Source organism: Homo sapiens, chromosome 5, assembly GCF_000001405.40.
Source record: "Homo sapiens chromosome 5, GRCh38.p14 Primary Assembly".
Taxonomy (NCBI): domain Eukaryota; kingdom Metazoa; phylum Chordata; class Mammalia; order Primates; family Hominidae; genus Homo; species Homo sapiens.
In genome coordinates, this window is record NC_000005.10 from 38743607 (window position 1) to 38755733 (window position 12127).

Consider the following 12127-nt stretch of genomic DNA (forward strand, 5'->3'; position numbering starts at 1 on the left):
GACATTACTGTAATCCAAAATCCTGAATTTTTCCTACCATTTCCCCTGATATACCTTGCAGACATATGGCCTGAGTCTCAACAGGCTTTTCACCTAGTTATCTCTGCTCAGACAAGTCTATGTTTTAGAGTTTATATTTAATTGCATCCCACTCCTGGTACCAAATTCTGTATCAGTTAGAGAATTCTTTGGCTGCAAGAAACAGAAAATCTGGTTCAAATTGGCTTAAATGATAAAGAAATGTATTTGCTTTTATGAATCGAAGTTCAGAGATAAAGCAAGCTTAAGAGAAATCCTACTTTTGAATGGAATTCATTTACCTGCACCTTTGTCATGTCAGCTTCATCCTATTTTCATCCTGGTGGCAAAATGACTCCAAAAGTTTTTGTTTTACATCCTCATCCTCTGGTTCTGAGAGGAAAGGCAGAACAACAACAACAAAAAAACTTGAATACCAACATTACACACCAGAATACCAGTCTTGAGATTTACCCTGATTAAACTATTTAGGTTACATGGCCACCCTAAACCAATGAGAAGTTGAATATCTTTGGTATGAGCCAACCAGACCCATTCCATAGGTAGAGTGTAGGAATGGTAGATACCTAATTGAAAACAAAGTACTATTAGAAAGGAAAATGTGTACTTTGGTTGTCAACTATCAGCATTCATTAATCAATGTTATCAGGCTTTTAAAATAGTCTTATATTATTATCATTTGAAAAAATAACATTAATCTGTATCTGAAATTATTTTATTTATATGTCTCTTTTTGAAGAATCTAAAGCTCCATGAGAACAGAAATTTTCCCTGTCTTATTCATTTCACTTGTAAGACAATGCCTGACATTCAATAAATATTTTCTTAGTGAATGCATGAATGAATGAATCTTGTTTATCCTGAATCTCTGAGACCTTCCACCATAAAGTCCCAAACCTCCAGGCCATGAATACTTCATTTGAGATGCTTGGGCTTAAAGCTTCACAGCTGGTAAGTGGATGGCCAAAACCTGAACTCAGGCTGGCTGACTCCACTTATTGTGTATTTCCAACTATTCCAAGCTGCTCTAATGTGTTAAAATAAGCCCACAGAGTTTTAACACAGCTGTGTTCAGAATCCATGTAGGAAATACATAAAACATTCTGACAGTTAGTATCCAAATAGTAATTTGGAAGATTAACAAGAGTTTAAAACTGGGCATGAACCAATATTTGCTTTTCTTTTTTTTTTTTTTTCTTTTTCTTTTTCTTTTTTTTTTTTTTGAGACAGCGTCTAGCTCTGTGTCCCAGACTGGAGTGCAGTGGCATGATCTCGGCTCACTGCAACGTCCGTCTCCAGGTTCAAGCGATTCTCCTGCCTCAGCCTCCTGAGTAGCTGGAATTACAAGCATAAGCCCCCATGCTCGGCTAATTTTTGTGCTTGTAGTAGACACAGGGTTTCACCATATCAGCCAGGCTGGTCTCGAACTCCTGACATCAAGTGATCCCCCCACCTCGGCCTCCCAAAGTGCTGGGATTACAGGCATGAGCCACCACATCCGGCCCAATATTTGCTTTTCTTATCTGGAGCTATCAACATACTCCAAGTTAAAATCATATCCCGCCTAATAGTATGTGAAAGAATGGGATTGATCTGCTGCAAGTCTAGTTTCTCATTTTGCAACAGCAATAATATAAGGCATGTTATAATTTTCCTTATTGGATGTTGCCCCTGATTAAAATAAACCCTTTTTATCTGATAGACTAATGGGGAGATTTAATCAATAGAGAAGAGAACTAATGTTACCTGTCTACCATGACCTGGGTACTTCATTCATTAATTTACATCTTTTCATTTGTATCCATTTGTTGCATGTTATTAAGTACCTTTCATGTGGTAGGCATCATGCTAGGGGCTAATGATGCAGCATTTAGCATAGGCTAGAGAGACATTGTAGTGCATCAATTAAAATAATGAACTCTCAAGTCAGAAAAATGGAAGTCCAAATCCTAGCTTTGCTGTAGCCTGTAGATCCTGGGTATCCACAGTGGACTTCTCTGCATCTTATTTTCTTCATCTCACAGAATTGTTCTTTATTTCACATACAGTTGTCTTGTGAGGCTTAAGTGAGATAATATAATTGTTGCCCTTGCTGTGTCTAGTATAGTGTCTGACACATCACAGTTATTTAATTAAATGTTATTTATATTACCAGAAGGTCCCTATCCTCAAGTTGCTTACAATAAATAGACATAAGTATTGACGCTTAATTTTTCTTAAAATGCTCTGAGATAAGTGTTATTCCATTTTAGAAACACGGAAACTGAGAATTTCAATAGTTCATTCAAGGACTGAATTAATTAACAAATGAGTCAGAATTCTAAATACAAAGATATCTCAGTCTGAAGCCCATGTTTTCACCAATTATCTGAATGAGAAATTGAGAGACAGGGCTTCTAGTCCTGATTTTAGACCAGTGATTCTCAACCCTGGAGAGCTTTATAAAGCTCCAAGTGCCAACACTCTGTCCAATTCACTGAAATCAGAATATCAGGATGAAGGCCTGGACACTGCGTATTTTCAAAACCTGTCCAAAAGATTCTAATGGGCAGCCAGGGTTGAGAATCACCTCTCAAGGCTTTACCAGCTTCACACTCTGTATGGCATCAATTGTCAGAATGAGACCACTGCTGGTAGAAGGAGGAATGTTCCAGGTCTTTCCTCCACTGGGGCTCTATGGTCTCCACTGTGTGTTTTGGGGAAAGCTAGTGCAGGTAATGCTCCCTTTACTGAACACCATTGCTATGGGGTCATAAGACACCCTAGAGTATCCATGTGGCAGACCCAGTTCTGCACGAGTGCTTGTGGAGGAGAGTGGTAGGAACTCAGTCTCTCTCCTCATTGTTGGGTCGATAGATCAACAGCATCTTTCACACACAGAAGAAGGAGCAGCTTGGGAAATGTCCCAGAAAAATGCAGCTGTTCTTTGTTTCTGGAGAGGAAGCCAATAACATTTTGTTCCTTGGGGTTCTCAAGAATGAAAATGTGTGCATAGCTATAAAAACAAACAAACCCATAGGGATAGTTCTCTTACTAACCAATATGTCGCATATATACTTATTTAAGCTCATTCAACAGTAACAGGTATTCTGGTCTATACTCTACCATGGACTTTGTGTTGAGATGGTCAGCAAAGGGAAGAAGGACAGTTCATCAGCCACTGGATGCTCTCTGGGATATTTCAATTACTCAGAAATCAAATCTTCTGCAGCTTCTTAAACTACTATCATTTTAAGAACTCATCCTAAAGTCTAGTCCACATAAGTCTAAGCTGCCCACTCTCTGATTTGCTCCTTGTAGTAATTCTGTGCAATACACGGTCATGTATCATTATCCCTGTTTTACAGAGTTGGAAACCAAGGTTTAGGAAGGTAAAATAACTTGCTCAAGGGCTAGAAAATGCATGGCCTGCACTCAAACACATGTCTCTGGATTCCAAATTCTCAAATTATTCAATTGAGTCAGGAGGAAATTATACTATTTAGGCACACCACGGGCCAGAAGTCAGCCAATCAACCAAATTAAAGCAGAGGCATTTGAACAAAGACACAGGTATTGGATTCTTATGATTTGTTACTGATATATTATGGCTTTAATGACCTCACTCCCTCTTTGGGATCCAAGACAAATGTGCACAAGACCAACAGGTAGGACCCGGGCTCTCATTGTATTTGCTCTTCCTCACGGCATGTTGCCCCTAGCCCAGCCTCAAGCAGCAGGCAGTATCGAGCCTTCAGGTATCTAGCCTCTGGGACAGGCCCATGGGCCATGCAACGTTCAGTTAGAGGCTGACTAAGAAAACTGCCGTGCATGAAAGGCAGTTGAGAAGAGTAACCCTTGATAGGTACGGGTGTGAGACCTCTCTAGACCAGCACTGTCCCATAGAAATATAATGTAACCACATGGGTAATTTTATATTTTCTAGTAGTCACATTAAAAAGAGTCAAACAAGTGAAATAAATTTTAATAAGGTATTTTATTTAACCCAATATGTCAAAAATATTTCAGCATGTAATATATAAAAAAATTAGCAATAAGATAGCTTACATTCTTTTTTTGGTACTAAGTCTTTAAAATCTTGGGTACACTTTATTTTTGCAGCATATCACAAGTGCTAAGTAGCCATGGGTGTTTAATACCTTATTGGACAGCACAGGTCCAGACCATCTCAACACAATTATTAGACTGATGTATTTAATATATATTAATATAGAATATATAAAGTTTGCTGATGCTTTCTCATTATTTGGAGTTTAATTTGTAACAAGCTAGTTTTCAATTTAATGTAAAGAATAAGGCTTTGGTTGGTAAGGCAGTAGAGTTTTTTTGAGTATTAGTATTGCCAGATACTGGGTTTTGCTCTAGGAGCACAGGATGAGCAAACGCAACCCTTTTAAGAGCCCTGGAGTGCTTTGAGTAGAAATATTAAGAAAAGGATAACTATGCATCTGTCTGAAGTTCTGAGGGTACAGTTCTAATTACAAGCTTGTGGGGCTGCAGGGAGAGATACTGAATAACGGAGATCTAGATTTAAAAATCAACAAGTGGCCAGGTGCGGTGGCTCACGCCTGTAATCCTAGCACGTTAGGAGGCCAAGGCAGGTGGATCATTTGAGTTCAGGAGTTCAAGACCAGCCTGAACAACATGATGAAAACCTGCCTCTACTAAAAATACAAAAATTAGCCGGGCTTGCTGGCAGGCACCTGTAATCCCAGCTACTCGGGAGGCTGAGGCAGGAGAATTGCTGGAACTCAGGAGGTGGAGGTTGTAGTGACCCAAGATTACACCACTGCACTCCAGCCTAGGCAACAGAGCGAAACTCTGTCTCAAAAAATAAATAAATAAAAATAAAAAATAAAAATCAACAAGTATTTGAGCTCTAGTTGTGAATTCCACAATTCTTATGTGTTGTAGGTGATATGAAAAATGTATAAAATAGAATTTTAAGAACTTAGCAGACTTACCTAAAAAAGGACTGTCTTAGGTTTGGTTCCCTCAAGGTTCCCCACTAAGTTGGGTTTAAGTTGCTTATTTGAGAGGCAATCTCAGGAGACATGACAAGGGAGTGGGGACCTGAGGCCTTGAGGAGATGTAAGCGGATACAGGACACATGATGAACGGGTTACTGCCATGGGCAACTGGAACTGCATCGCACTGGGGATTCCCTGAGAGATTGGGTGGAACATGGCTCAGAATCCACTCAATGAAAGGTAGGGGATCTGGGGCATTTATCTTCCACCTCCTATCCCTCATTCATTAAAAGTCTCATCTGGGATGTTAACACCCAGCACTCTGGCTGCCCATACTTGAACTGAGCTTACTCCTGCTGCCAGAGAACACCCTTAGGAAGAGAAGGAAGAGGCAGAAAGCTATAGATGTGCATTGGAATTATCACAGGCTATTCTGGTGTAGGCCAAGAAGATATGATTTAGGTTCCTGCAGTGTCTACAATGATAGTTAACAGTCCTAAGTCCTTACCGAGTTACCAGACACTGTCTTTACCACCGTCCATGTACTCATTCATTTAGTCCTCCCGACTATAAGGTAAGTACCTATTACTATTACTAAAAAAGAGGAAATATGGTGAGGAGAGGTTGTGTAATTTTTTCAAGGTCATACAATTAAAAAGGGGCAGAACCAGACTGAGTTTGGTGTCTTAGTCACTGTTTCATTAGTTATCAAATAGTATGAATTGCATAAAAACTGAATCTGCCTTTCTGAGAAAGCCTTCCTGGTTATATTTTACAAATTCTAAATATGTATTTCAACAGAAAACTAACTTTAAAAGTCTCAGTTTTACATTCTGGACTATCTAGACTGTTCTTACCATCAAATTCTCTGTCTGGTAAGTGGGAAAGAAAAGTTCTTTAAACCCAGAAATATTAATAGATAAGGCAGGGTTATCACAGACAGAGGCTTGCAAAAAAGAGAGACGGTGAGTATTATAGAAATTAAGAGTATGTTTATAGGTCAAGTCCCAAGACTGCACACCTCCAAAAATTTCACAAAATCATGGCATACAAAGACCTCTCTCCCTGCAATCTTTGCTCAGGTAAATGAAATATTGTGGGGCTGGCCTTGTAGCTCCTGAAACTAATTTTTCTTTTTCTCTCATCCGTGGACTTCTGTTTGACTTCTCCATCAGATCTCTCTTCCCCACACCTGAAGAGTATCTCAGGCAGACCTTTCCCCTTCTAGTTACTGTCACATCCCAAGCAGGTCTTATTTTCAGGTATCACAAAGTCTAGTTCCTCTAAACCCAAACTTCAGTTTCTCATGTGCTTCAAAGCTCCTCTCCTCTGCCATTTCGGGCCTGACCCAGACTCAGATACTTGCATTAGGGAAGAGCAGAGGGTATTGATTGGTTCTTTATTCACCTGTGACACCCTCCCCCAACTTCCTCTGCTGCATCGAACTCCTCCAGAACCAGGGCAAGGGGATGGAGAGAGGAGAAGAGGCAGAAAGTCTTATCTGAGGAGCACTGCTGCAGTACAGTCTTGGTGCCACCTACATGGCAAACCCTGGCTTTTTCTTTCATCTTCCCAGTTTTGTTGGCTTGTTGGAGATCTCCTTGCAGGGACATCTCTCCGAAACCCCCTTAGCTCCTACATGACAGTTTACCCACCAGTCTCTTTCTGCTGGGCTGGCCAGTCCCTGAAGGTGGGACTGGACTGGTGGGGCCTGGCTCCTTTCAAGGCAGCCAGAGTCCGGCTGTCATTTGAGGTGTCCTTCCTGCCCCCATGAATGACACTCATTCCTCCCACCTCAGGTGAAAATGCTATTTGTTTTGCCTTTAGCTCTCTCTCTTACCCACCATCGAGGCTTGTTCCATCAGCTTCCCCCTTTGGATTTTTGCAGGCTTTATGCCCTCCCAATCCTGGGGAACATCTGCTGAACTTTCCTAAGAATTAGCTCTGATCCCATAGCAGCCTTGCGCTTCTGCAGTCTGCAAGCAACTTGCTTTGGAGTAGGTGGGCAAGATTGAGAGGTATTCTCCCCTGCTGACCAGCGCCTTCACTTCCCCTCCCCTCCCATTATACACTTGCATTGACTAAGAGGAGGGGAGGAAATATTCTGTGTTCAGAGAAATTCTCCCTCACTAACCTTCCAGCATCATTATTACCTTTTCCTTTTCGTTTCCTTTTCTTTTCTTTCTTTTTTTTTGTTTATTTGTTTGTTTCTTTGTTTTTTTGAGACAGAGTCTTACTCTTGTTTCTCAGGCTGGAGAGCAATGGCATGATCCCGGCTCACTGCAACCTCCACCTCCCGGGTTCAAGCAATTCTCCTGCCTCAGCCTCCTGAGTAGCTGGGGTTACAGGCCCTCGCCACTACACCCGGCTAATTTTTTTTTGGCATTTTTTGTAGAGACGGGGTTTCTCCATGTTGGCCAGGCTGGTCTTGAACTCCTGACCTCAGGTGATCCACCCACCTTGGCCTCCCAAAGTGCTGGGATTACAGGTGTGAGCCACCACGCCTGGCCCATTATTGCCTTCTTTCTATGTAGGTGAAGGTGTGTGGTGCTCTATGAGTTACAAAAGTGGTTCCAGCCTCTTAGCAAGTCCTGCGCATGTTCTAATATCTATTGCCCTCAGCTTTGGAGGTTGAATCAAGACCAGGACCCATCCTATGTAATATCCTGTGGCAGAGAAAGAGAGACAGCGACCTCTCCAGGCTGGCTTGAACACAGTCCTGCTTACACACACTGAGAATCATCAGATTACCCCAAGCTCTCTTCTAACATTCAGGGTTTGTTTTTGTTTTTGTTTGTTTGTTGATTTTTTTTTTTTGAGACAGATTCTCACTCTGTCACCGAGGCTGGAGTGTGGTGGTGCCACCTTGGCTCACTGCAACCTCTGCCTCCTGGGTTCAAGCAATTCTCATGCCTCAGCCACCCGAGTAGCTGGGATTACAGGTGCGCACAACCATGCCTGGCTAATTTTTGTATTTTTAATAGAGACAGGGTTTCGTCATGTTGCCCAGGCAGGTCTCGAACTCCTGACCTCAACTGACCCGCCCATCTTAGCCTCCCAAAGAGCTAGGATCACAAGCGTGAGACACCACGCCCAGCCCCAACGTTTAATTTTTAATATTCACAAACTTAACCTCTGTTTGTTTTCTCTAACCCTAAGATCATTCCTAAATTGCTTAAGAAGTGGGGAAACTACTTTTTATTTCTTTTAGACATATGGAAAAACATAAGCCAGGTATAATACTGAAAAGTGATTCAAGCACCCTCAGCTCCACCAAAATACGAGTCATTTAACAATAGAAAAACTTAACAAAAGTGTGATCAGAATAGAAGCATTTGAAAGAAGCCTTCCCCTCCTCCACTAGTGTTCAGCCACAGAAAACTTGAAATGAGTTAAGTTCCCACACTAAATGATTTCCATTTCTACCTCTGAGGAGGGAAGAGGGGGCAGCATCACCCTAATAATATATTTTTAAATGCCCAGCGGAACTTCAAATTCAAAGAAATATAAATCTCTCGCTGTCTGTGATGCATATAGCTATATATCAGAGAGATCTATAAGCTGTTCTCTCTGTGTCATTTTTTTTCTTCTTACAGAGAATCTGTGTGAATCATCATAGCCATAAAATTATATGACTGAACATTGATAATTACATGACTTTTAACTGGAAGTGAACAATAGCTTTAGTTCCCTGATGGAACCATCTTAGCCATAGATTTTCTGTCAACATGCAGCCAAGAGGGTCTGATTTTCTGCCTTTGTGGAAGATTCGGGCATGGTTACCAGCAAGGCTCAGAGGCACAGGGGTGCAGCGTTCCCAGAATCCCTGTTCAAACCAGACCACAACCGGGACAAGGGGAGAAACCCTGCTAGAGTGGGCAGCGCCTGGCTTCCTGTGCTCCCAAGGACCCTTGGCCTTCCCAGTGCCACCTCCTCTGATGGCGGCAAGATACCCAGGAATATAAGGACAAACCCTTTTCCCTTCTGCTCTCACATGACATCAGTTGGCACAAGAAATGCCAAAGTACAGGAGATTGGTTTAATAGCTGCGATTTAGTCTGTTTCCTTAAAATAAAAATAATGTGCTTTCAAACTGCAACATGTTGCTTTAATAATATTTAACAGAATATTTACGGGACAGCAGTTCTAGTTGTGGAATGCAGCTTCATATCTTCCTTCCAAATGCTTTCCCATGCATTAGCTCATCAGGGCTGACACTGATGAGGGGGTAGATTGCACTGATATCATTACCCCTGTTTAAAGCCATGGAAATGGATAGTTCTGAATGGATCTGCCTCAGCTCACAGAGCCAGTTACTTTCAGGGTCAGGACGAAGCCAAGTTTCCTCACCCTCCGAGTCCTATTGACTTAATCAAGGAGAGAAATGCTATGCATCAGTTTTTAAAGAATAGTTTATATTTTTCTGATCACAGAAGTAATTTGCGTTTATCACAGAAAATTGGAAAAACACAGAAAGCATGAAGAAGAAAAGACAGATCACCCATATTCCCAGACAGACCTGCTGACTGCCTGCTGCAAACATTTGGATGCATAGTCTCACATGTACTTGTTTCCTTAAAAATGGTTTCATACTATGCATGCTGCTTTTTAATAGTTTCTTGCATTTTCTTCCCAATTATAAAAGTAACCCATGCTTACTATGGAAAAAGCAGAACACACAATCATAAAGAGCATCAAAACCATTCCGCAATCCCACCCACCAAGAAGTAACCATTATAAAGCAATTTCATTGAATCTGACATTTACAAAGCCAGTAAAGTTGCCACATGCCTCTAAGGCAAGGATAAGAAACGAACACTCTGCCATTATCTTCAGTTAGAATCTAGGCTGATTTATCCAGAATGTCTCTGGGTTTTCAGTTTCCCTTTTTTCTTTTTTTTTTTTTTTTGAGTCTGGCTCTTTCGCCCAGGCTGGAGTGTGCAGTGGCGTGTTCTCGGCTCACTGCAAGGTCTGCCTCCCGGGTTCATGCCATTCTCCTGCCTCAGCCTCTCAAGTAGCTGGGACCACAGATGCCTGCCACCACGCTCAGCTAATTTTTGTATTTTTAGTAGAGATGGGGTTTCACCGTGTTAGCCAGCATGGTCTCGAACTCCTGACCTAATGATCCGCCCACCTCGGCCTCCCAAAGTGCTGGGATTACAGGCGTGAGCCACCGCGCCCAGCCCTGTTTTCTCAAATATAAGCAAGAGTTTCCAATTAACTTCACAAAAATATTTTCAGAATCAATAATATGACATTGGCTGGGAATTGTAAATGTTCTGAAAGAAATCTACAGTCTCCAGGAACCACACTCATTCAGTCTGGGTTCCTCCTTGCCAGGCTAGACCACAAGGAATTGGGGCCACATGAAAATAGTAGAAGGTGGTTTGGCTGCAGATGCACAATCCAGCTTTATCTGGGCCAGAGAATAAAAGGAGCTGACAAAGCAGAGGGGAGTGTGGAGGCTCGTCGTTCCTCTCTGGAGTCAAAACTCCCCAAGCCACACCAAGTGCAGGTGCTAAAGGCTCTGGAAGGGTAGACAGACAGGTCTCTTTACTGTGGCATTTGTACGGATACAGAAAAAAAATGCCTTGAAAATAGGGATGGACCTGAGGAATGGTCCACCATCTGACTTAATAACTAGCTTAATGATGTGGCTGGACCTGCACGAATTGAGCTGGCACCATGGCTTGATCACCTACACAAGCAGCACTGAATTTGGAAGATGAGAGTGTTCTGGTGAGAGTGTATAGAAGGTGAAATTACAAGGATGACTAATAAGACAGGTGGATTTTATGGCTGCAAAGAGGCCCTTAGAAGTGAGCACTCAGGCAATGTGCTACTTCACTACTTAGCTACATAAGACTGAACAACCCAATCCAGCAGATGAAAACATTAAGCGCACCTCTGACGTGTCCCTAGCTGCTGTTATCTCACCTTATCCTCACACCTTGTGCTTGCCAGAGCCTCTTCCTCCTCCTCCTCCTGCATGCTCCATGGAACCACTACTTTCCCAGACGCCCCCAAGCCAAATTCCTCAGCATCATTCTTGACTCCTCCCTCTTTCTCTCATTTCCCACTTCTAATTAATTGCCAAGTCCTGCCAATTCTACTTCCTAAATATTTCTCAAGTCCTCTACTCCTTACATCTCCACTTTTACCAGCAGAGTGGGAGCCACCGTTATCTCTCGCCTCCTCCGCTGCTATAGACTTCTCATTGGTTTTTCTGTTTCCATTCTTGTTGTCCTTGAGACAAGGTGATCTTTTGGAAACACAAACCTGACAGAGCTACTTCTCCACGGAAAACCTTCTAATAACTTCCCATGTGTTTTTCTTAAAAATTAGAGAGTAATATCCATTTCCCATGTTTTTTCTTTAAAGAGGAATATCCATGCAGTGAAAATAACTCTTTTGAATGCATAATTACGTAAATTTTGACAAACACACAGTCAGGTAATCACAGCATTAAAAATATAGAACAGTTCTTTTTGGTGATTAAGAATAGAGCTTTTATAAGCATTCTCATAGAATGTTTTGTGGAATGTTAAGTTTACATTTTACTTAAGTAAATACCTAGGAGTGGCATTTCTAGGTGTACAGTAAAGACAGATTTAACTTGATAAGAAAATGCAGAAATGTTTTCCAACATAGCTGTACCATTTTGCATCCCTCTGCTGGTGGGATAAAGTTCAAACTCCTTCTCAGGTCTTCCAGGGCTCTCTACTCCAGCCCTCTGGCTCCCCACTCACAGCCCTCTCCCTTACTCCACCCTTTCCACGCTTTGTCACCGACCACACTCAACTTCTTTTGCTGCTGTGAACAAGCTCTTACTCATCTCCAGGACTCCCCACATGCTGTGTTTTCTGCCCAAAATATTTTGTATTCCCTTCTTTGCCTAAATAACTTCTTTATCTGGCCAATTTGTTGGCTTAAACATCTCCTTTGCTAGGAAGCTTTCCCTTAACCTAAATTAGGTTCCCCTGTGTGTTTCCTTCCTTCATTCATTCAGCAAATGTCTGATGAATAAACCCAGGATCTAGGCTCTGATCTGGCACTGGAGTTGGGGCAGTGAACAAAGTAGACAAAAGTACAGGCTCTCATGGGGCTTACAGTCCAGT

General features: G+C 41.9%; 1 long non-coding RNA gene across 1 annotated transcript in view; it reads right to left on the bottom strand.

Moving 5' to 3' along the window:
• OSMR-DT (OSMR divergent transcript) overlaps positions 1–12127 on the bottom strand; it is a 152617-nt gene that overhangs the window by 50394 nt on the left and 90096 nt on the right. Inside the window, exon 3 of the long non-coding RNA NR_109951.1 lies at positions 321–411. This is a non-coding gene — a long non-coding RNA (OSMR divergent transcript). The remainder of the gene's footprint in view (positions 1–320; positions 412–12127) is intronic.